The sequence below is a fragment of the Homo sapiens genome, chromosome 7 (assembly GCF_000001405.40).
Source record: "Homo sapiens chromosome 7, GRCh38.p14 Primary Assembly".
Classification (NCBI taxonomy): Eukaryota; Metazoa; Chordata; class Mammalia; order Primates; family Hominidae; genus Homo; species Homo sapiens.
The window spans coordinates 15405441-15428707 of NC_000007.14; the positions used below are offsets into that span (position 1 = coordinate 15405441).

The 23267-nt window shown below is 33.9% G+C and overlaps 1 protein-coding gene across 7 annotated transcripts in view, besides 2 other annotated features; it reads right to left on the reverse strand.

Moving 5' to 3' along the window:
• Nucleotides 1–23267, reverse strand: part of AGMO (alkylglycerol monooxygenase) — a 444793-nt gene that overhangs the window by 288218 nt on the left and 133308 nt on the right. For all 7 annotated transcript variants that reach the window (XR_001744759.1, XM_017012204.2, XM_011515402.4 and 4 more), the window contains exon 5: nt 13118–13213. Coding sequence is in view for 6 of the 7 variants with exons in the window: in XM_017012204.2 (XP_016867693.1) it covers nt 13118–13213 (96 nt within the window). In the remaining variant the exon portion in view is untranslated. The remainder of the gene's footprint in view (nt 1–13117; nt 13214–23267) is intronic.
• Nucleotides 2484–2778: a silencer, noted in NCBI's record as "tiled region #14752; HepG2 Repressive non-DNase unmatched - State 24:Quies". NCBI's record gives its function as "weakly represses a minimal TATA promoter and a strong SV40 promoter by Sharpr-MPRA in HepG2 cells {active_cell/tissue: HepG2}" and the evidence as "EXISTENCE:reporter gene assay evidence [ECO:0000049][PMID:27701403]".
• Nucleotides 2484–2778: an enhancer, noted in NCBI's record as "tiled region #14752; K562 Activating non-DNase unmatched - State 24:Quies". NCBI's record gives its function as "activates a minimal TATA promoter and a strong SV40 promoter by Sharpr-MPRA in K562 cells {active_cell/tissue: K562}" and the evidence as "EXISTENCE:reporter gene assay evidence [ECO:0000049][PMID:27701403]".

The window sequence follows — 23267 nt, forward strand, 5'->3', positions numbered from 1 at the left end:
CCTACCTTCACTCACCAGAGATTTATTTTACGTGGTTCTTGGAAGGGAGCAATCATTCTGTATCTTGATAAGCATTCACATTATTCTGATGCATGCAGGTGACCCTACCCTTGCTTCAATTCTAGTTCGGACTTTATGAACCAATTCCAGAATGTAGTCATTTGGCTTTTTCAAAATAAGTACTATTCATTGAAAACATATTATGTTCCTAACTATGAGCTTTACATTTGTTATTTCATTAATCCACGTAACACTCTTATGGGTGAGTATGATTACTGTTACTTAACAGATTTGGAAGCAAGGTCAGAGAGTCTAAGTAAGTTTAGCAAATAGTCATATTCATTTATTCAGTCAAAAAACAGTCTCTTTTGGGTTCTGAGAACAAAGCAGTAAACAAGCTGGACAAATGCCTAATGAAGCTAAAATAGGACAGATTTCTCTTTGATTTCAAAATGTATAATCTTATTCATTATGTCATACTACTCTCTTATCCCTGAAATGTTCTCTTCTTCAATTTGGCAAATTAATTTCCATCATGTTCCTTGTGTCTAAGAGCTTAAATTCCAATCCTTTCACAACAGACATTTTTTAATAAAGATTCATGAAATTTTAGACAGTCCAGCTTCAGGTAGCTCAGTAAAACTCTTCTAACTTTGGTTCTTTATTTTCTGTTGGGAAAGAGTCACTACAACCCAGCAGATTCTCAAAGGAGGGTGTGATCCTAAAATTGTTAGCGACAAGGGTGCCAGTTCAGGTCAGAAGACTCAAAAGGCCCCTTTGTTTGGAATACACACACACACACACACACACACGTATATTCCATATAAGTATACATGTACACATATGTGTGTATATATATGGAATATACATATATATGTGTATATATATGGAATATACATATATATGTGTATATATATGTATATACACACATACATATGAATATACATATATATGTATTCCATATGTGTATATATACACATATATACATATATGCGTGCATATGTACACATATATACCCACGTATACACATATATGTATATGTATATGTGATCCTAAAATTGTTAGTGACAACGGTGCCAGTTCAGGTCAGAAGACTCAAAAGGCCCCTTTGTTTGGAATACACACACACACACACACACACACACACACGTATATTCCATATAAGTACACATGTACACATGTGTGTATATATATGAATATACATATATATGTGTATATATATGGAATATACATATATATGTGTATATATATGGAATATACATATATATGTGTATATATATGTATATACACACATACATATGAATATACATATATATGTATTCCATATGTGTATATATACACATATATACATATATGCGTGCATATGTACACATATATACCCACGTATACACATATATGTATATGTATATGTGATCCTAAAATTGTTAGTGACAACGGTGCCAGTTCAGGTCAGAAGACTCAAAAGGCCCCTTTGTTTGGAATACACACGCGCACACACACACACACACACACGTATATTCCATATAAGTACACATGTACACATGTGTGTGTATATATATGGAATATACATATATATGTGTATATATATGTATATACACACATATATATGAATATACATATATATGTATTCCATATGTGTATATATACACATATATACATATATGTGTGCATATGTACACATATATACCCACGTATACACATATAGATATATGTATATGTGATCCTAAAATTGTTAGTGACAAGGGTGCCAGTTTAGGTCAGAAGACTTGAAAGGCCCCTTTCTTTGGAATACATATATATATATATATATGTATATACTTATATGTATACTCCATTATATTTATATAAACACTAGAAATGCATACATGAATAAGCAATGGGGTGATGAATTATCTGAAAAGGTAACTGTAGAATAGAAGGAAAGATTATTTTACATAGAACAAGAAATGTATAGGATTTCCATTAAAGATGGGCTTCAAGAGAGAACAAGAAGCCAAAGGTGTCATCAATATTTGATCTTGATGTTGACTTCAGAGAAATGGAAGCAAAGTAGAAGAGTAGATGACTTAAGGTGATGAAAGGCATAATAAAATACATTTTAGATATGCTGATTCAGGGTAGTAGCAAATATTTCTAAGAATATGTTAAGTAAGGTATTGGAAACATTGATTTGAAACCCATAAGCATCTTCATTAATATTTAACTCTAGCAATAATTATCAACAATCAATAGAATTTTTTATTTAAATACAATGCTTATTAAAATTTATGTGTGTGTATATTTGTATGTTTAAAATGTTTACATATACACACAAACACATAATAAATGAGAAACTTTTTTTGCTATCATGGAATTCAGAGAATAATGAGAGAGAGAGTTAAGCAACAAATACAACAGAGTGGCATAAGAATTAAACTTCACTATTATTATTAATAATTAGATGCTTCCCATGTGCAGAAACTAATGTGTTATCTAATTTATCTCTCCAAACAGAGCTCGTGCTCCTAACTCTTAACTACCAATATGGAAATAGAAATACACACAGAGTTAGTGTAAAGAAAAGTGCATCGAGCTCTTACTAGGAGGTAAAAGAAAGATGTTGCAGAGGAAGTGGTAATTGGGTTGCGTCATGAAGAATGTTTTAAAAAAGGTTATCACAGAGAGAACATGTGCAAATACAGATAACCCCCAAGTATTTCAGGAAGCAAATAGCAGGGCAGTTTAGCTGTACTGGCTGACTTATGGGATGGGATGGGAGTTGTAAACAAGCGTCATTTTCTAAGAGCCCTGAAATCTGTTAATGAATTTAAGGGTTTTGATTTTATCTTGGGGACAAGGGAAAGTCATTTAAGAAATTTTTTCTCATGTTAGGAGCACCCTAATATTATTTGGGTTCTAAAATAATCATCACAATTGTTGTATGAAAATATATAGGAGAGGGCAGAGTGTGTAGGTGTAAAAAAACCAGAATTCTGTTGTAACCATCTATGTAATTGATGAAGGATTATAAATTCAGGCAGGGCAATAGAGATGGAAAGGCAAGCGGTATTAACGAACTATTTAGGAGGACAACTCAACCAGTGTATAATGACTGTTTTAAGAGTGAATGGCTGTGTTATTAACAATTATGCCAGAAAAAATAGGTACACATTGGGGCTCTTCCAAGCAAGCTGAGACATATGACACCCTAGCTGTAAGAGATGTAAAATCAATGATATAGGATTTCAGAGGAGGAAAGGAGAGAGAATTGTTTACCAGGCTTTGAATCATGGTTCTGCTACTAACTAGCTGCAACAACAGTAGGCAATTACATAACCTCTGTATAGTTGTTTCCTCACTTTGAGTGGGGACCATGGGTTGTGTGATAATTAAATAAGTAAATACATGTAAAATAATTAGCATAATGACTAACACATGGTCTGAGCTATATAGTGGTTTGTTCTTAACAGGGGAAACATTTTCTGGGGAAGGGAGAATTTGAGTTGGGCCTTGAAGAATGTATGGAATAATAGCATATGGAAAATATGAAAAGAAGAGAAAATGCAAAAATTGGGTATTAGATGAATTTGAGAAATGGAAAACGGTCCAGTATTATTGAGCTGCACAGTATGGAAAGTAATGAGACATAGACCAGGAGATATAGTGGGAAGGCGCTACACAAAGAACATGAAATGAAAGGAATTTAGACTTTATTCAGTAAGCAATAGAACATCACCGAAGTATTTCATCAGGGCTGGCCTCTGAAAATAGGTTAGATTTTAAGATGGGGGAAGTAAATGTGGCTAAAGTATGCACAATTATTTGGTACAGGAAGAATTACAACTGATCTTGGCCTTAGCCAATGACCTTGATCTTTTAACTCTACCATATCAGTTCTTTGTGAACTCTGCTGCCACCCACCAGGGTCTAACAAGTGAAACCCAGATAAATGTATTGTTTGAGGAAAAAGTGTGACAAGTGAATGAAGTATGGTCAAAATTTTTCTCCCATGAATGCTGTGTTGCCTTACATAAATCATAGAATATCAACGTTCTTAGCCTTAAAAGGAATGGGGTTTGATCACAGAGTTTGATGAATATAAAAAATTTAGTTTTCTGACTTTCTATTAAATTTCTAGAATGGTTTCCTGCTGCATATATGTCTACTCATACCCTTAAAATAAAGCCCCATTACTGAATTCATTCTTTACAACCTGTAAAACTTTAATTATCCTTCAGAGATTCAAATTATTTTGTGAGAATTAAGAGAGCAATTTTTGCTTGCACGTACTGGATGCTTAATACATGGTGGCTATTTATTACAACATTAAGATCAGAAATGACCATTGTAGAGGGAAACTGCATAGTGTAGTAGATTAGAGCAAAGAATATGGAGTCTGACTACTTTGTACAAACCCTAGGTTTGACACTTACTAATCATATGGCCCAGGGTGAGTTATTCAGTATATTTAATTGGAGGTAATACCACTACAAATTCTAATGAGTTGTTATTGAAAATTTAATGTGAAAATACTTCCTGAAAAATAATGAATACTGGATAGGCTCACAATAAAATAAATAAATAATAAATAAATAAATAGAAATGATACTCATTAAATTTTCTTTGGAATATATCAGTCCAATTCTCAGTAACTATAAGTAACTGAGAATTCTTGGGCTGAGACCACTGTAACTGTGCTTCTAAACTTCAGTCCTTTTAAAATATATTCTTCAAAATTAGCTACTTCTTCATGAAGAAAATTATAACTCTTTTTCCACCATTTAACTTTTTTTTATTATGTACATAAGACTAGGATACTTAGTCTTATGTGTAGTAGCAAGATGCTACAAGAATAGCAATAGATTCTCACAAATGTCTGTGGACCACAATAATTGAAATATTTTAAAAATATGTTGAACTTGTCATATGTAATAATCTGTACATTAATCAGTTTACAGATCAAAAAATAAATAACAAAAAAACCCTAAACAATGTACTTTATGATTAGAATCTCAAATTTTTATAGTTAAGAATGCAATTTTTTTCCCTAAAGTAAGTTGGGGATTCATTAATTATTTAAGTCTTAAATTTGATTGCATTTATTCATATTAATAATTCATATTAAACAAAATATCTATTGCATTAAAATTATGTCACAAAATGTATGTGAATAATCATGATGCCTAAGAGTGGTAAGTGACATACAGTAAAACAGGTATCTATATTTCAAAAAAGATAAAGTAACAATGCTGAAAACATTTTTTAGTACTTTCTATGTGATAAATTACAAGTAAGTAAGATCATTTCTATAATGTAAACTGCATCTTTCATTTTGTGGCCTTAGGGATTAAATTGCCTGAGTTCAACTCCAGATTGTATTTGTTACTATGACTGTAAACTTGGGCAGAGTTCTTTACCTTCTTTGCCTTCTTGTGCTTGAGTTTCAAGCATTATTTTAATTGTTAGATTGAAATATGAACTACATTTTTAATCCTCACAACAATGTATACCCTATGGTTGAATGTCCCCTCTGAAACTCATATTGAAACTTACTTGCTATTGTGACAGATTTAAGAATTGGAATCTTTAAGATGTGATTAGGTCATTAGGGTTTTGTCTTCATGAATTTATTAATACTATTACTACCTAAATGGGGAGTGAGTTAGTTATGTGAAGAATGGGCTCCTGATAAAAGGATAAATTTGCACCCTATTTGCTCTCCGTATTGCATGATTGCTTGCCCTCTGCCATGTTATATCTCAGCATGAAGGCCCTCAACAGATGCCAGTACCTTGATCTTGGACTTTGTAGCCTCTAGAACTTTGAGCCAAATAAACTTCTATTATTTATAAATTACCCAGTCTGTGGTATTCTGTTATTGCAACAGAAAACAGACTATGATACTTTGTATTGTTATAATCCTCATTACACACAGGAGGAAACTGAAGCACAAGAAGGTAAAGAACTCCGTGCAAGTTCATAGGCACAGTAACAAATAAAATCAGGAGCCAAACTCAGGCACTTTAATCCCAAAGGCCACAAAATAAAAAATGCAGTTTACATTAATGAAATGATTTACTTATTTGTAATGTAAGTTGTTTTTTTAAAAAGCATGAGATGACTAATTGTGTATTTACAATATTCATATTAAAGTTTTTATAATCATAGTATATGAAATATTAAAAAAAATCTCCCAGGCAACATATTCCTTTACACAAAATAAATATTTAATTTGATAACGAATATGTGCCAAGTAGATTAATAATTCCAATACATTTCCTATCTACACAAATGGTGAAATAACAGCTACAGAAATTTAATATTCACTAAACATGTTTCTCTACAATCATTACTTAAAATACATATCACAAATAGTATGTATTTTTTTCTTTCTTGATGTGTTATTTAAAAGATAAATAGAATGGAGATAGTTACCTAAAAAAAAGTATCTTTACACATGAGTGGATCTTGAGTAAATTTAATATAATTTTGAAGATTAGATAAATACTCTTAGACTTCCATTAATTTTGGATGCTAAAGGGCAATAACCAAAACACTCTATTATCTGTGTCCTCAGAAGTCAGATCTTCTAAGTCTCTGCTCATCCTGCTACCACTCTATTGCGTTTGCTGCTATAGAGTAAAATTTTTCTATTCTTCTCTTTATCTGTTAGCTTCTGAAAACTTCTGCTTTCTATTATTTCATTGTATATATTACTTCATAATTCTGCTGCACATTTCTTATGCTTTCTCATTTTGCACATTGCATCCTTGCAGCTCTCTTGTACTCTGATTTCTATTGCCCTTTACTATTTAGGTATCTCATAAATATATCTCCAGACAAAAGGACTAATTGGGGCAGTTATTTGAGTATAGAGTGTTGCTGAGAAGAATTTGTTTTCCTGATAGTTTGTCAATTACATCACTGAATGGGCAGTGTATGCACTAGGTTAGGAGTCGTAGGCCAAATTTAAGGATACCTAAAGTGACTGGAAATATAAGGGGGAAATCCTAGAAAGACAGGGACCACGGAAAGGGAGCCATAATATCTGCATACAAAGTGCCCTCAAAGCCTGGCTGACTCTTAAATTACTCACATGTAGGGCAAGACACTAAGAAACCTGATGAAAAACTCAGAGGTTGAAAAGTTGTAAAATTGCTAAGCAGAGATTTCAATTGCTGTCTGGTGCTAGCAAAAGAGAATTTAGAGTTCAAATCCTGCCACGTGAGAGGGGCTTTGTAAACACCTCCAGCATTTCATTATTTAAAAAAAAAAAAAAAAAAAAAAAGACAAGGCTTGCCCTAAAATTGAAGATCACCAAGGATAAGGAATATGCCCTAAGGCTAAAGGCGGTGCCAAAAATCCCCACATATCCTAACAATGTATAAGTCAAAGTCTCCAAAAATACAGGGTAGTTAGCCAATTATTTCACCACCTCCTAGAATCATAATAAGGAATGGTCAGATGGACAAAACAGAATCTAGAGTCTTTACAACAAATCTGCCATAATGATTTACATGTAATATTGACAATAAATTACTAGATGTACAAAGAAAAAACACAAATGCGATTCATATCAAGTAAAATAACAGTCAATTGAAGTAGACCTGAATATGAACCAGATATTGGAATTAGCAGACAAGAATTTTTAAATAATTATTACATTTAGGACATAAAGGCAAAATAGTCACAGTAAGTGAAAGAGCCTCTCAGCAGAGAAAAACTGTTTATTTAAAAAAGCCAAATTCTAGAACATAAATGTATAATATTTAATGTGAGAAATACACTGAATGGATTCAATAGCAGCTTGGAGAAAGTAGGTAAAAGATTAAATAAACTTGAAGACAAATTAATATGTTATTCAATCTGGATACAAGAGAAAGTAAAATCTTATAAATTACAGAGCATTTCTGATCTCTAAGGTAGTGTCATACAGAATACACATGTAATTGATGTTCCCAGAGGGGAGTAGAAAGAGAAAAGGACAGAAACAATGTTTAAGAAAATCATGACCAGGACCCCTTAACTCCAAATTTGATTTTCAAAGCACATACTTGTAAGCCCCAGATTAATGTTTTTTAAATACCACAGTGGCACGTTGTAGTCAAACTGCTAATATTTTAAAAGGAAGAGAAAAATTTTGTAAACATCTAGCAATGAAAAGACACATTATCTATGATATAATAATGATATGAAAATTGAATTATTAGAAAAAATAAAAGTTTAAAGACAATGAGATAAACTTTTTAAAGTACTGAAAAAAATGCAACAAAGGAATATCCATTAAGAATTTCATATTCAGAAAAGTATCTTTCAAAAATTAAGGAAAACATGACATCTTAAGGTAGACAAAAACTGAATAGATTTGTTGCTACAGGTCTGCATTACAAAAGATGCAGTTTTTCAGTCTGAAAAGAAATAATAACAGTTGAAAACTTAGGTTAATGGAAAGAATGAAGACGATTAGAAGGTAAACATCTGGGCAAATAAAGAAGATTAACTGTTTTATCTTCTTGATTCCTTTAAATATAACTGACTAATTAAATCTAAAATAATAAAAACAATATTTTGGGATTTATTTATTTGTTTATTTTTTATTATTTTTTTAGACAGAGTCTCACTCTGTCACCCAGGCTGGAGTGCAGTGGTGTGATCTCGGTTCACTGCAAGCTCCGCCTCCCAGGTTCATGCCATTCTCCTGCCTCAGCCTCCCAGGTAGAAGGAACTACAGGTGCCTGCCACCACACCCAGCTAATTGCTTTGTAGAGATGGGGTTTCATCATGTTAGCCAGATTGGTCTCGATCTCCTGACCTCATGATCCACCCACCTCAGCTTCCCAAAGTGCTGGGATTACAGGCATAAGCCAGTGCACCCGGCCGTATTTTGGGATTTATAATGTGAAAGATTAGCACATGTGAGAATGCTAGCTAAAAGGTTGGGAGGGCTTAGATTGAATTATATTACTATAAAAGTCTTACATTTATGATAAGTATTATATTAATTCAAGGTAAGATATGATAGGAATGCATATTTAATCCCTAGAATAGACACACATACACACACACACACACACACACAAAGAGAGGGAGAAAGGTGGGGAGAGAGAGAGAGAAAACAAGTCAGTAGAGGATGCCTACATTTTACTTTAGCCACTTCTGTCTTATACCATCTAGCTCCTTGCCAGAGCAATAAGGCAAGAAAAAAAATAGCACAAATATAGGGGAAAAAAAAGAAACAAAACTGTCTTTATTCAAAGACCACAAAATTATGCATGACAAAAATCCTAGAGAAAATTAAATTATTTTACAAATGTGTGAATAATGCATCCTTTAAAGCTATGATAATCAATAAATTGAGGAACTGACATAAAGGGAAACAAATACATCAATGAAAGTGAGTATGAGTCTAAAAATAAATACAAACATATGTGGTCAACTTTTTCTCAACAAGTCATCACGGACATCTAATGGATTTTTTTAAGTCTCTATAATAAATGGGGCTATAGTGGTTATGTACAAAGAAATCTGGCATCTTGATTCTACCTCATACCATATGTAAAAGTTAATTCAAGAATATCACAGAATAATGGTAAAAGTTAAAACTCTGAAATTTTCAAAAGTAATCCTAGAAGACTATCTTTCAGAGTTTGTGATAGTCGAAGATTTCTTAGAGAATATTTAAAAAAAATAGTGAACTTCAAAATTTAATATTTCTGTTCATGAAAAGTCATCAGTGGTGCAATCTCAGCTCACTTCAAGTTCTGCCTCCCTGGTTCATGCCATCCTCCTGCCTCAGCCTCACGAGTAGCTGGGACTACAGGCACCCGCCACCATGCCCGGCTAATTTTTTTGAACAGGCTCACTCCTGTAATCCCAGCACTTTGGAAGGCCAACGCAGGCAGATCACAAGGTCAAGAGACCGAGACCATTCTGGCCAACATGGTGAAACCCCATCTCTACTAAAAATACAAAAATTAGCTGGGCATGGTGGTGCGTGCCTGTAGTCCCAACTACTTGGGAGGTTGAGGCAGAAGAATTGCTTGAACCCAGGAGGTGGAGGTTTCAGGGAGCTGAGATGGTGCCACTGTACTCCAGCCTGGCAACAGAGTGAGACTACCTCAAAGAAAAAAAAATATCATTGAATCATTCGGTTCAAATCTTCAATATCAAAGAATTAAGTTATTTATCTGCTACATTTCTCTACTCAAGCATTACATGATATATACATAAACAATGTGATAATAAATTTAAGATAAAACAAAGGTAATAGTGTAATAGTATCATTATATGATTGCTAGTGTACTGTGAAAACTCAGCTAACACCCAAATAACACCTGACATCTAAAAAAATACTTAAAACCTTCCACAGTTTTAAGTTAAAAACATGTATTAAATAAAAAGATTTTCTTGCTATCTTTAGTGAATTCACAAGAAGAGACTATAACTGAATATGTGCTGCAGAGGCTTTAGATCCATGAACAATACACAGACAAAAATATAATCAAAAAAATTAAGCAACAGAGTAGAGTTTCAAGCCAAATGTTTCATAACTTTCAAAAAAAGAGGATGACAATAGACCTTGTTGTTTGTTTTTCTTTTCTTTTTTTCTTTTTTTTTTTTTTTTTGGAGGTGGGCAGGGAGTCTCCCTCTGTCGCCCAGGCTGGAGTGCAGTGGCATGATCTTGGCTCACTGCAAGCTCCGCCTCCCAGGTTCAAGCAATTATTCTGCCACGGCCTCCAAAGTAGCTGGGACTACAGGCACGCACCACCACACCCAACTAATTTTTGTATTTTTAGTAGAAATGAGGTTTCACCATGTTGGCCAGGCTGGTCACAAACTCCTGACCTCAGGTGATCTGCCCGCCTCTGCCTCCCAAAATGTTGGGATTACAGACATGAGCTTCTGTGCCAGGTCTAGACTTTGTTTATTTATCAAAATAACTCAAAAGTAAACAGAAAATTTCTATAAACTATTTGGTACGTTTTATGGCCTATTTTTTATCTCACAGTCTTTCAAAAATGTGATTTTAAGGTTTTTTTCCTTCCTTTTATTCTAATGTGATTGATTTTAGGAGAACTGAATCTTCTTCACTTTCAAAAAAATCAGTATCTTCTTAAGATCATATTCCCCTTAGAGTGAGAACTGATTTTTATGGATGTTAGGAGAAGTGAAACAATTGTAAGAATGAAACTCTATTCAGGAATATGCAGGGCTCTTTGGCTAACATGGTCATCTCTACAGCTCGCATATCATTTCTGTCAATGGAGATCCAAGTATGATGCCTGATATTAAACAGTATGCAAGTGGCCTATAGGGTTTCATACAATTTACAGTACAGGAAAACATAAAGTGAGTATCTTTCTAGACTAAAGGCTGTCATTTTCAGTTTTTACTTTTTACTTATTAATCTGTGTATTAACTCTTAATTGAAAAAAGCAAGACAAGCAAATGATAAAAATAATTTTAAAAAAATACTTAATACTCCTCCCACTCCAGTCCTCTATTCCATTTGTCTTTCTCTCCAGAAGCAGTCATGGTGTCCAATCTCTTCGCTCTCCATCCTGAATTATTCTACTATTTGTAAACAAACTATTCTATGTTGTGTATAATAAACGAATGTAACTACACGGTTGAGAAATATTTCAGAAATGTTTTCACGGTTAATAATACAATTTAAAATTCCAAGATCCAAACCATGAATTTCAGAAGATGTGTTCTTGCTTCCCATGCAGATCAACTGTAGGAACCCACACATAGTAAAGTATTTTGAAAAGCATAAAGTGTAACACAAGGGGGAGGTTCTAAGCATTGCTTTTGAAGTGGAAATGAAGCCACTTGGAGGTTCTTGGCAAACAGGAATAAGTCTCACCAGTGGCTTTTCTCCACTCTTGCTTTACTTCATGAAATGGAACTCAAGACCTAGCTCATGGCCCTCTCATCGGGACACAGGAAGAGGTGAAAGTGACTGAGGCACTATTGTTCTGTATCCAAACTAATACCTGACCCGACACATGGCGTGACCTGGAGCAGAGCTGCTATAAAATGTAATTCTCCCTTAACCCCTCCATGTAAATCATCAGAAAGCTTCCCTCCACTGATTTAAACAAATTTGGTCTTTGACCTCTAGAGTCAGAATTGGCCGCAACATCTCTTTCAGATGGTTGTGGTATTGAGTGTTTGATGTGTGTTAAGTATCATAAAACACAATACTATTTCATGATAGATCTTCAAATAATGCTACATATGTCCAAAGTCACGGTAACAGTCTCTTTATTCCAAGTAAATCAGTAGCATAAAATACTGCAGGTTAATGGAATAATGCACTTTGTTGTATCAAGATTTCACATATAATGCAGCTGTGATTTGTAGTGTTGTTTAACCAGTTGCAACACCTGTCAACATGCTTCCTCTAGTAACTTCAAAAGGCTTCCAATAAATACCAAATGTTTAAAAGAGTGCTTGTGTGTATAGGTAAGAATTTTTCTAGGTCTGTGATTTTTGGTATTTTAGCAATAGGATTGGTACAAATATTCATAAACCAATCAGCTGCTTAATAATTACAAACATTCAAATCTGACAGTTTGAAATGCCACGGAAGACTCTAAAATTACATTTCTTCAGGTTTTTTTGGAAAAAAATTAACAATATACTGAACAATTTTAAATAAAATTTAATCTCTGTAGTTAGAGCAAGTTTTCCAATCAAAAATTATTTTCATAATTTCTATACAATTTTTAAGGGTGTTTCAAAGAGTTTCAACAGATTATAGATATATTTATATATACACATATACATATGTTTATATCTCTGAATTGAAATGAATTTCAACATCTCTTGGTAAATAATGTTTAATAAACTGTAATACAGGAAGATATTGTATTGAATATAGTATTAAAATGTTTTGGCACTTAATAGTTCAAAAAATTGTTTTATTTAATTGAGACCAACTGGCCTCATTGCTTCTTATAAACTTTGCAATATATATTCACTAAAAACGAATAAAAATGAACAGATGTTTCTCCTTAGAAAAGGCAGACAAAGATTTTTCTTACACAATAAATCATCTGCTAGTGGATTTCCAGGACATTGCTTCAGGCTGTTTAGGTATAAAACTTACAAAGATAAAAAAAAGTTTTACCTCTGTATGGATCCAAAATTGGTAAAGAAGATTGAATTGAAGATGAACAGCATATACTGAAGGGGGTATGAAGAGGGCCAGGGGAGAGTAGAAAATCTGAAAGAAAAAATTAAAAAAAAATTAATTTGCATATATGAATTCTCAATGCTTTGTTAATGGTTCAATATTCTGAATGCATATTTCTTTAGGAAATATATCTCATACTATATACTGTATATTTTATTGCCATGTTTACTTTGCAACATTAATTTTCCTCATGGTGATACAGTTACAGACATGTTGGAGCTAAGGCCACTGGACTTTGATTTTGCATTTAATATTGTCTAGTTAAAATATTATATGTTGTGTGTTATTTCCTTAATTTTAAAAAGGTTGGATGTGTTTTCTGGAATTAAAGGGATGTTTTATGTACACACAAATACTCTCTTTATGTTAAAAAATGTAGGAATGGATGACTTTATACCTTTGACAGCTCCCAAATTCTGTATTATTACCTGGCATTTTCAATAATAATGTGAAATTATAATAAAATAAATTAATTTCATACAAGGAGAGGACAGCATATACTTTTCCTTTTAACTTGGTTTTTGTATGATTGATTGATGACATCATATCTCTTAATTTTTTCGAAGTTATTAGGAAGGAGGTATGATATGGTTCCATGGTGAAAAAAATTTTAAAGGTCCATATTACGTAATAAACAGAAATGCCTCTTCCTTACAAAGACAACTTATGATTAAACCACAGAACTGGTTAGAATTAACTAATAAGCATGATCTGCTTGTTCTGCTAATGACTTTGATCCCCAAGAGTGGTTTCATGCTGGAAAGAAACATTTTATTAAATGAGAGACTAAATAACCAAATGAGAATAAAATGAATCTGACTTTCACTTTACATTTCTAATTTTATAGAGTTTATACTTCTGAAAGACTGGATGTTTTAAAAATATTTCTTCTGAGTATTATAATTTTATTTTAAAGTTATTTTATGACATGTTCTCAGTTATGCAAAATGTAATTTCAAGGATGTTTAGCAATGATTATACATGTAAAACTCGTCTAGTTCTTGTTTTGAAACTTGTCATAAAAATTTCAACTGTCATCATAAGTAGAATGTTTTTTTTTTAATATAAACATGTTATTAAGCAATGGATTAGATTAGTGAGAAAAGAATACTGGGCTCTCATTCAAGAGATCAATTTTTAGTCCATGTTTCCACTAGAGACTCTCTCTGTGATACTCCCTAAGTTCTTAAGCTTCTCTAGGCTTCAGTTTCCTGAAATTAGTGGCGGAGGGGAAAACCATTTAAAACATAGTCATCCTTTTTGTTCCAAAAGATCTGTGATACTATGATTTGATTGTTTCATAATACATTAAAACAATTATCTCCCAATAGGTTAACAGCAAAATACTTGCAAAACATATATGGCCTATGATATAAGTCCTCTAAGTTGAGGAGTGTTTTGGAATCTCCTCTTTGAGAGCTGAGAAAAATATGAAACAACTTTATTTTGGATGCTTAATAAGTAGTTCTGTTTGGAAAGACTATGCATAGCAGATGAATATTTATAGTTCATTATAATTTCCCAAAGTGTGGAGAAGCAGTCCCTTGAAATAATGACAGCTATTATGGAAAAAGTGGTTAAAAGATCAGATAAGTCGTGAAGTGGTAAATTAAACAACTGAAGTTTCTTTAACACAGGTCTTTTAAGAGCTTTTACCATGCTAATGTGAATCACAAGTCTATTAGCACACAGAATACTTTCTTGATGAGTTTACCATAGGATTAGATTTTCTGAAAACTCATTTTATGAAACAGTGTGCTAAATCTTATATATCAGTAATATAATGAGGAACTGACCAATGGAAAAATAAGCTCACTATGAATTCCAAAATACTATATTTCTAACAAAAAATATAGGTGAGGAAATAATTCACATGAATCACATGAGTGATAATTTCTTATGATTAATACTGTTCTAGAAAAAGAATCTAATGACACAATCAAGGTTCTAATTTTTACAATCGAAAGCAGCTTAGTAAATGTGGTCCAGGTAGGAGAATTCTCACTTTTCTTCTCTACCTCCAAACTTTGCATTTCCGAATCCTATATAACTTATAAAACCAATTTAAAGGCCACTTCCATTATAAATCTTTATATGGTACTAAGTTAACTGAAGAAATTTCTCCATCCTCAAACTCAGAGTAACTTGGTAGCTGGATTAGGCACATGATACCCTTTACCAAATACATCCATATCTACCATGCATTCAAACCCATGTCATTCTGACTCTTAGTTTCTTTAGCTTTAAATTACACTGTCTACCCTAGGTCATTTTATTGTCTTGTAGAAGTCATACATAATAAGGCTATAATGGAGAAAAACAACCCAGACCTATGTGTTTGAGGAAAGAATGAATACAAGCCTGAAGGCGATCTAAGGCTAACAGACAGCAGATGAGTGGATTTTATTCTCTTACTAAGTGAACGTGGCGAGCAGGGGTTGTGTGAGACAGTATCATGAAGCAAGAAACAATATGGCATTTAGGGGAAGCTAAACATATTTGCTATTGTAGAAGGCGTTGGAGAGTAGTGTGGCTAGAAATCAGGTTGGACCATGGGATTTCTTGACAGACCTCAGGGAATCCATGAATCCCTTGATGCCATTATAACAACGTGTGAGCCTGTGTGCGTGGGAGAGTGTGTATTTTTCTCAAGAAACAATTGATAGCCTTCATCAGCGAGTCTTCGGTATGTCTGTGCCTCGCCACAGCCAACACAGAAAAAGAATTTAGACAGTGGCTAAACCAGAGAAGGGAGCCATTTCAAGAAGCTTGGGCATAAGGAAACAATTCACATCTTTTTAAGCATGTAAGAGATGGAAAATATAAAAATATGTTTGGAACCTATTTCAATAGCCCAGAGAAAAGTGATGCATATTTAATCACAGCAGTAGCCATGGGGATGGAGAGATAAAGTACATGCAACAGATTTAAGGATTTGGCAGCTGTTAAACATAGGAGTTGAGAGGTAAATAGCAGTGTCGGAAGACACCCAGATTTCTGGCTTGTCTGTTGGTGATATTGTTCACCAAGAAGGTGGACAGGAGGAAGAATAGGTTGTAAAGTTCAACTTGGGGAATGTCGTGTTGGGGTCTATGGGGTGTATGTCCAGGAGGCTATTGAGTAAGATTTTGGAAATGTCTGGCTGGAATTACATCTCAGGGAATCAGGAAGTGTCTTGGTTGAACTTGTTGATATGGGTGTCATGCAAATATCAATTTTATTTAGCTTACAGGTGTGTCCACAGTGGGAAGATAGTCAAAGATGCAACTCTATGAGAAGTCAGAAAGAGTTGCAGTAAATGAGGCTGAAACAGGACAGTCTCAGAGGTGGGAAAGATCTGGTACCTAGCATCATCAGAGATGATGAGAAATTTTTAAGAGACAGAGAGAAGACTCCCAGTTAATGTCCAAGTGAGATAGGAACTGAAAAAAAATAAGTGAGATGGAATTTGCAGGTATGAATCAGCAGAACAGTAGGCCTAGAATGCAGTCCTCAAGTTCACAAACCCAAGTTAGTAAGTTTAAGAATCAGCCAGAGGAGGTAACAAAATGAAAAGAGGGATTACCTCTATGTTTCTCTGATAACAAAAAAGGAGACAGCTGGATGTATTCCTTCAATAAAACAATGGATGAGGGAGGAGATATTACCTGTTTATTTTTTTTTAATGTGAGAGATCTTACTATATTTATGGCTTATTCAGAAGGAGCCAGTTGAAAGGAAGAGGGAAAATGCCAAGAGTATTTGATAGCACAAAGTCCAAGAGAAAAAAAACAGTAAGGTAAGAGCAATGTCACCAACCTAAGGATTAGACCAACGGAAGAGAGGTGAACATTTTCTATAAAACTAGAGGTAAGAATGCATGTTCACTTGTGAGTTCATGAGTTTTAATTGAAAATGTATGAACAGGGAAGACCAGAGAAGGGAAACTGAAAAAAATAAAAAAACCCTCACATTTCTCTTTGAAGTTTTAAATATGTTGAAGAGGCAGCAGTGGGGAAGAGATCTTGAGGAGACAGTGAAATTCTAAAGAGTTTCCCCAAGGTAGAGAGGAGAAAATAGGGCAGTCTCATGTCCATGGCTTGGTACGCAGTATTTAGGGGTCAGGTGTATCTGAATCCATACATGGAGGGGCACGAAATTGCCAACCTGGTACAAGAGGAAGCCTGCAGCACTCAGCAATCTGGATGTGGGAGTGAAGAGGGTAGATGACTGGATTTACTCATGGCCTGAAGATTTCAAGGCACAGGATTTCAGCAGAGGATGCAGACTGTGCTTCACAGAGTCATGGAAACTAGGCTTCTTAGTTTGGACGAGGTAAGTAAAGTGAGGAGGCAATGACAAACAGAAAATGTAGGAGGTGAGAGAGTAAAGTACTCCACGAGTAAGCTGCTAAGCAAATGGCTAAACAGCGTAAAATTACTTTTAAATAAATGAAAAACGAAAAAGCTTTTGGACTCTAGAATTCATGTCTACTTTATTTTAATAGTTGAAAAATATTTCATTAACATTACTAATGTACATATTTCTAGGATTTTCATTTATTTTTACATTACTTTAGAGAAAAAGCAATTTAAAAAAATGTTCATCCGAATTCAGAAACTAAAGATTGAAGAATCAAATAGCATGTGCCACATTCCTTAAGTCTATGATTAGTAATGACACAGATCAAAATTACCTGATTATAGATAGAGAGCATTGATCTCTGTCCTTAAGACATATCTACTTAGATTTTATGTTTGAAATAAGAGTTTGTGTTTCTATTTAGAAAGTCATTATCTTTAAGTAACCTATGCCTATTTTTCTGGTCCCATTTCTATGCACTTAACCATTTCCTTTTTACCCCATTCCACCATTGTATACATCCTATATTCTAGCCACACTCATACTGTTATGAGTTGAATTGATTTTCATTAACATGGTGTGGGAGACCCTGGCACCCAGTACCTCAGAATGTGTCCTTAATTGGAAATAGCATCTTTATAGAGGTAATCAAGTTAAAATGAGTTAATTAGGTGGGCCCTAATCCAGGAGGACTTGTCTTTTTATATACAGGGAAAATTTAGACACGGAGATAGACATGCACACAGCGAGAATGGCACATGAAGACGAAGGCAGAGATCTCAGTGATGCATCTTCAAGCAAAGGAACACCAAAGCTGCAAACCACCAGTATTTAGGTGGGGGGCATGGAACTGAGTCTCCCTCATAGCCCTCAAAAGGAACTAACCCTGCTGCCATCTTGATGTCAGGCTTCCAGCTTTCAGGACTGTAAGATAAATTTCTGTTGTTCTAAGCCACCTAGCTCTGGGTACTTTGTTACAGCAGCCTCAGGAAATTAATACACATGCCATACATTTTTATTGTTATTCCTAAAATGTATTATATTTTTCTATAATTTTGTGTTTTTACAGATGTTGTCCTTCTACATAATATTCTATCTACAACCTCCTCCATTGCAAAATTTTATTCATTACAGATTTGCTTCAAGCTTTATTTCTTCTATGAAGCTTCCCTTGACCCATAGCGGTTCTCAGTGCAAACACTTCTCTCTAAAACCTTCAAAATTTGTGGCAATGGCTGTTCAGTTACATGACTCCCTCCAAGTAAAACCATCACCTTGAGAACACAAGCTCACTTCTTACTTATCTTTATATCCCCAATCTCTGCCACCATGACTGGCCCTGCTAGTCAAAAGTATATGTGGAAAAAAATGGGTGATGCACTATCATAATAAGAACAATGACACATAAAGGAGGTTAAATTTTTAGCCACTTGTACATTTTAAATATGTGGCAATAAGACAATGCAACTTTAGAGAGAACTCAATTTGCTTCCTCTTGTTTATCCTTCATTAGAACTATAAATGACTATCAAATCTCTGTAAAGAAAAACACTGAAAATCAGAGAATAATTTTATTTTTTACCAAATTTCAAAATGACTTTGAATATTTCTGTAAGCTACAGAATAATTAATTCCATTTTCCTGACGCATGCTAGCATTAGTCTTTGATACTAGCAATGATTCAAACTATCCAAGAGCCTCATTTCTTTAATGGACATAAACTTTGTCTTATTAGTCATCTTTAAGTGCTGGTTGAGGGTGAAGAAGGAATGCCTTGGAGTTCCGAGGCAAAGTTCTGAGAAAAGTTTTGTTTCTTTACTTCATGGGGGCTTAATGCATGCTTTCCTTTTGTGACAAAGAGTTATGAGAATTTATCCCCAGTGCATTCAAATGCATTACATCAAAGTTGTTAGTTTCTTGTATCTTTATTTGTTCACATTTGTCTTTATATAAGTCCAACTCCCACATATTGAAAAACAGTCTTTGCTTATGTAGTTTGGCAGGGAGTACAATGTAATAAAAAGATCTGAGATTTCACTAAGGTTTCTCTGCAGTCTCATATGTAATATAAAAATAATATCACACATAAGAATCATACTTGATATGTTTCAGAGAATTTCCACACTCATAAATTAAAGTGATCTTCAAAATAACCACATGAGAAGGCAGAGTAAATATTAAGAGGTCTATTTCATATGCAAAATCACTGAGACTCAAACATTAATTGATCGGTTCAAATTAGCAAAGTGAGTAAACAACTAAGCTAGCGTGGGACTCAGTTTTCTTTATTTCTAGTCAATTGCTATTTACTGTTTCCTAAATATAAATGAATATATTTTTAAATTATTATGCTCAAATATAATAAGATCATCATTGATTTACATATTCTCCATATGATAATGTAATAATGTTATTAATGAGATTTTCATAATTTGATGTTATAATTGTATTTCTTTTCTTTTTGTTTATTTTATTTTTTTTTTTTTGAGAAAGAGGGTCTTGCTCTGTCACCCAGGCTGGAGTGCAGTGGAGCCACCACGAATAACTGTAGCCTCAACCTCCAGGGACCAAGTGATCCTCACATCTCACTCAGCCTCCTGAGTAGCTGGGACTACAGGCGTGCACCACCACACCCGACTAATTTATTTTATTTTTTGTAGAGACAGCATCTTGTGATATTGCTTCGGCTAGTCTTGAACTCCTGGGCTCAAGCAATCTGCCTGCCTCAGCCTCCCAAAGTACTGGGATTACAGGCATGAGCCATCACACCCAGCCCAATTGTATTTATTTTTTCTGATGGTGGGTAAAATTTACCTTTTTTAGGGTTGCTAATATGTTATAAACATACTGTGCTAAATCTTATAAAATTAATTTCAATACCAACGTAGAGAACATAGCAATTTTAAAGGTGGAAAGACATGACAGAGCTAAAAAATTCACTCACTCTAGTAATTTCAATTAAGTTCATTTGTCATTAATTTATTATGCTTTTGAGAGAAATACTAAACTCTTTGAAAGCAGTTAGCTCACTATTTTCTGTTCAATACTAGCTTTATAGATAAAACAAATATGTTCAAATATATTTTATTGCAAAAGGTAAACAAATTATATATCCTATACTGTAATTTTTGGAGTGTCTATTAAATAAAAATATTTAAATGAATAACAGATGTAAATTATTTCACACATTCTACCTTTTATTAGTTTCACATTGGCCTGACTCTAGTTAATTTAGCAAAAATATTTCCATTGCCAAATTTATTTTGACAACTATAATACTTTCTATTTCATTCATTTATGTAACATACATTTATTAACCACTAATTCTGTAGTAGACACTTACATATACTAGGTATACAGCAGTGAAAAATAGACTAATTTCTTTGAAAGTTTATAGGCCAACATAAATAACAATAATGAAAAGCGTTAACTACTAAAATAGATAAATGCAAGGGTTTTATGGAACCAACCAACCAAACAAACAAACAAAAACCAAAATCTTCCCCAGGCGCGGTGGCTCATGCTTATAATCCCACCACTTTGGGGGGCTGAGGCAGGCGGATCACTTGAGGCCAGCAGTTGAAGTCCAGCCTGGGCAACATGGCAAAACCCTGTCTATACAAAATACAAAAAAATTAGCTGGGCGTGGTGGTGCCCACCTGTAATCCCAGCTACTCAGGAGGCAGAGACAAAAGAATCGCTTGAACCCAGGAGGTGGAGGTTGCAGTGGGCTGAGACACACCACTGCATTCCAACCTGGGCGACAGAGTGACAATTTGTCAAAAAAAAAATTTTTTTTTTGGAAGGATAGAACAATCAGAGGTAAAGGGAAAATAATTTTCCAGGCAGAGGTAATGGCATGTGCAAAGAAATAGCAATGCATTATGGCATGGTAGATTGAGAGAAGTGAAAATCGTTAAATTGGAGATGGGATGAAAATGGGGTGTGTGGAAGATGAAACTGGAGAGACGAAACCAAGTTTTGACTAGCTCTGCATGTGATAAGGAGTCTATTATATTCCTTTCTCTAAACTATAGGCAGAGTTAGCTTCATTCGAATGGTGGTCTGAAAAGGAAACAGTGGGTGATGGGTTGAGGGATAAAGAATGAAAAAATGAAGAGTTTCTTTAGGATAATATCCAGTTAAAAGTAATATTGGCTGATATATTTGTTGCTCTTTATAATACTCTAGGATTCCCAGGAAACAATGTCTACTGTTGATGGCTCATTCTAATATTTTTTCTATAGTAGATACATAATGTATAGTGGCTCTGAGTATAAGCACGTACACATGCACGTGTAGCTGTGTTTTTTAATAAACTATTTATTTTATAATAGTTTAATATCTTCAGAAGTGTTGCAATAATAACTCAAAGTGTCGTCCTGTATCCTTTACTTGCTTTCCCCTATTGCTAACACATTGTTATGCTGTATTTGCCACAACTAAGAAACCCACAGGTACATTAGTATTAATCGAATTCCACACTTTATTTAGAATTCACTAGTTGGGATTTTGTATGTTTAATCCCTAATGTTCTTTTTCTGTTTTAGAGTTCCATCCAGATGAAGAATTTCTTTTTCACGCACTTTAGTGCCTTTGCTCTGAATATAAAATTTCAGCATTCAAGTACTTTATCTATAATGTCAGAAAAAATGAAGTTATAATCCTGATACTGTAATATTTTATATGACATCCATGAATTTAAACACATTTTATTATTATCATTATTTTATTATTAGCAAATTGGATAGAGTATTATTCTTAAGACATGATAGTAGGATGTATAATCAAAGATTGAAGTGGCATGCAAAACCATATATTGCAGTGTATATGCAGTAAAGAAGTCTCACTTAAAATGGCACTCTATCAATAGCCCTCCTTGTTGGTGAGTAATATTAAGCTTAAAATTGGCTTAAAATGCAAATAATATGGTTAGAAATTCTAGAAAGTTGAATTCTTATGTGTAACTTCTTCAAAAGTTGTGCTGTTCTAATTTTCATAGTAATATAGAAGAAATATACTTAATTTCACATTTCAATGTGAAATGAGCTTAATTTCACATTTCATTTCACAGATCAATTTTCTTTTCAAAGATGCGGCCCATTTATTATTTGTCCTAAAATACATTGTTACCTTGGTAACTGCTAAATTATCGGCCTCATGTAACAATGTTGGTGAGAAAAATCTTGACAAATGACTCAACAAAAATGAAGAGACCTGAAGTGTGCCCTATAATTTTGATGTCTAGGAAGTCCTCTTAGAAGTCTTTAACCATCACAGGCCCTTAAAACATCTCTCCTATCTTCCAAGGGACCTAGAAATGCTAGGTAAGAATCCAGGCTGACTTACAATCCCTATATCTCATTTCCCACCATGCAAGTTCCCGCAGTCCCCTTCCAAAAATATTTAGCAGCTTGTCATGCATTCTCAATGTTCGTTGCCTTATTCAGCACATTCCCTAACAACATGGCATGAGTTTGTAAAGATAAATTATTCTGGCAATAAAACAAGTGTGAGTCTCATTTTACATAGATTTTTGCTGCTTTGTTACTTTGTATGCATTGACTTAATAAAGAAAAGGACACAAGAGAAACCAAGACAGAGATTACAATAAACTGGACTCAAGCTCCAACTTGGCATTGCTCAATACTGATGTTGTGGGCTTCTTTAAGATTCATATTTATAGCTTTGAAAATAGATGACTTAAATATATCATCTCCAAGATTTCTTCTAGTTCTGAAGT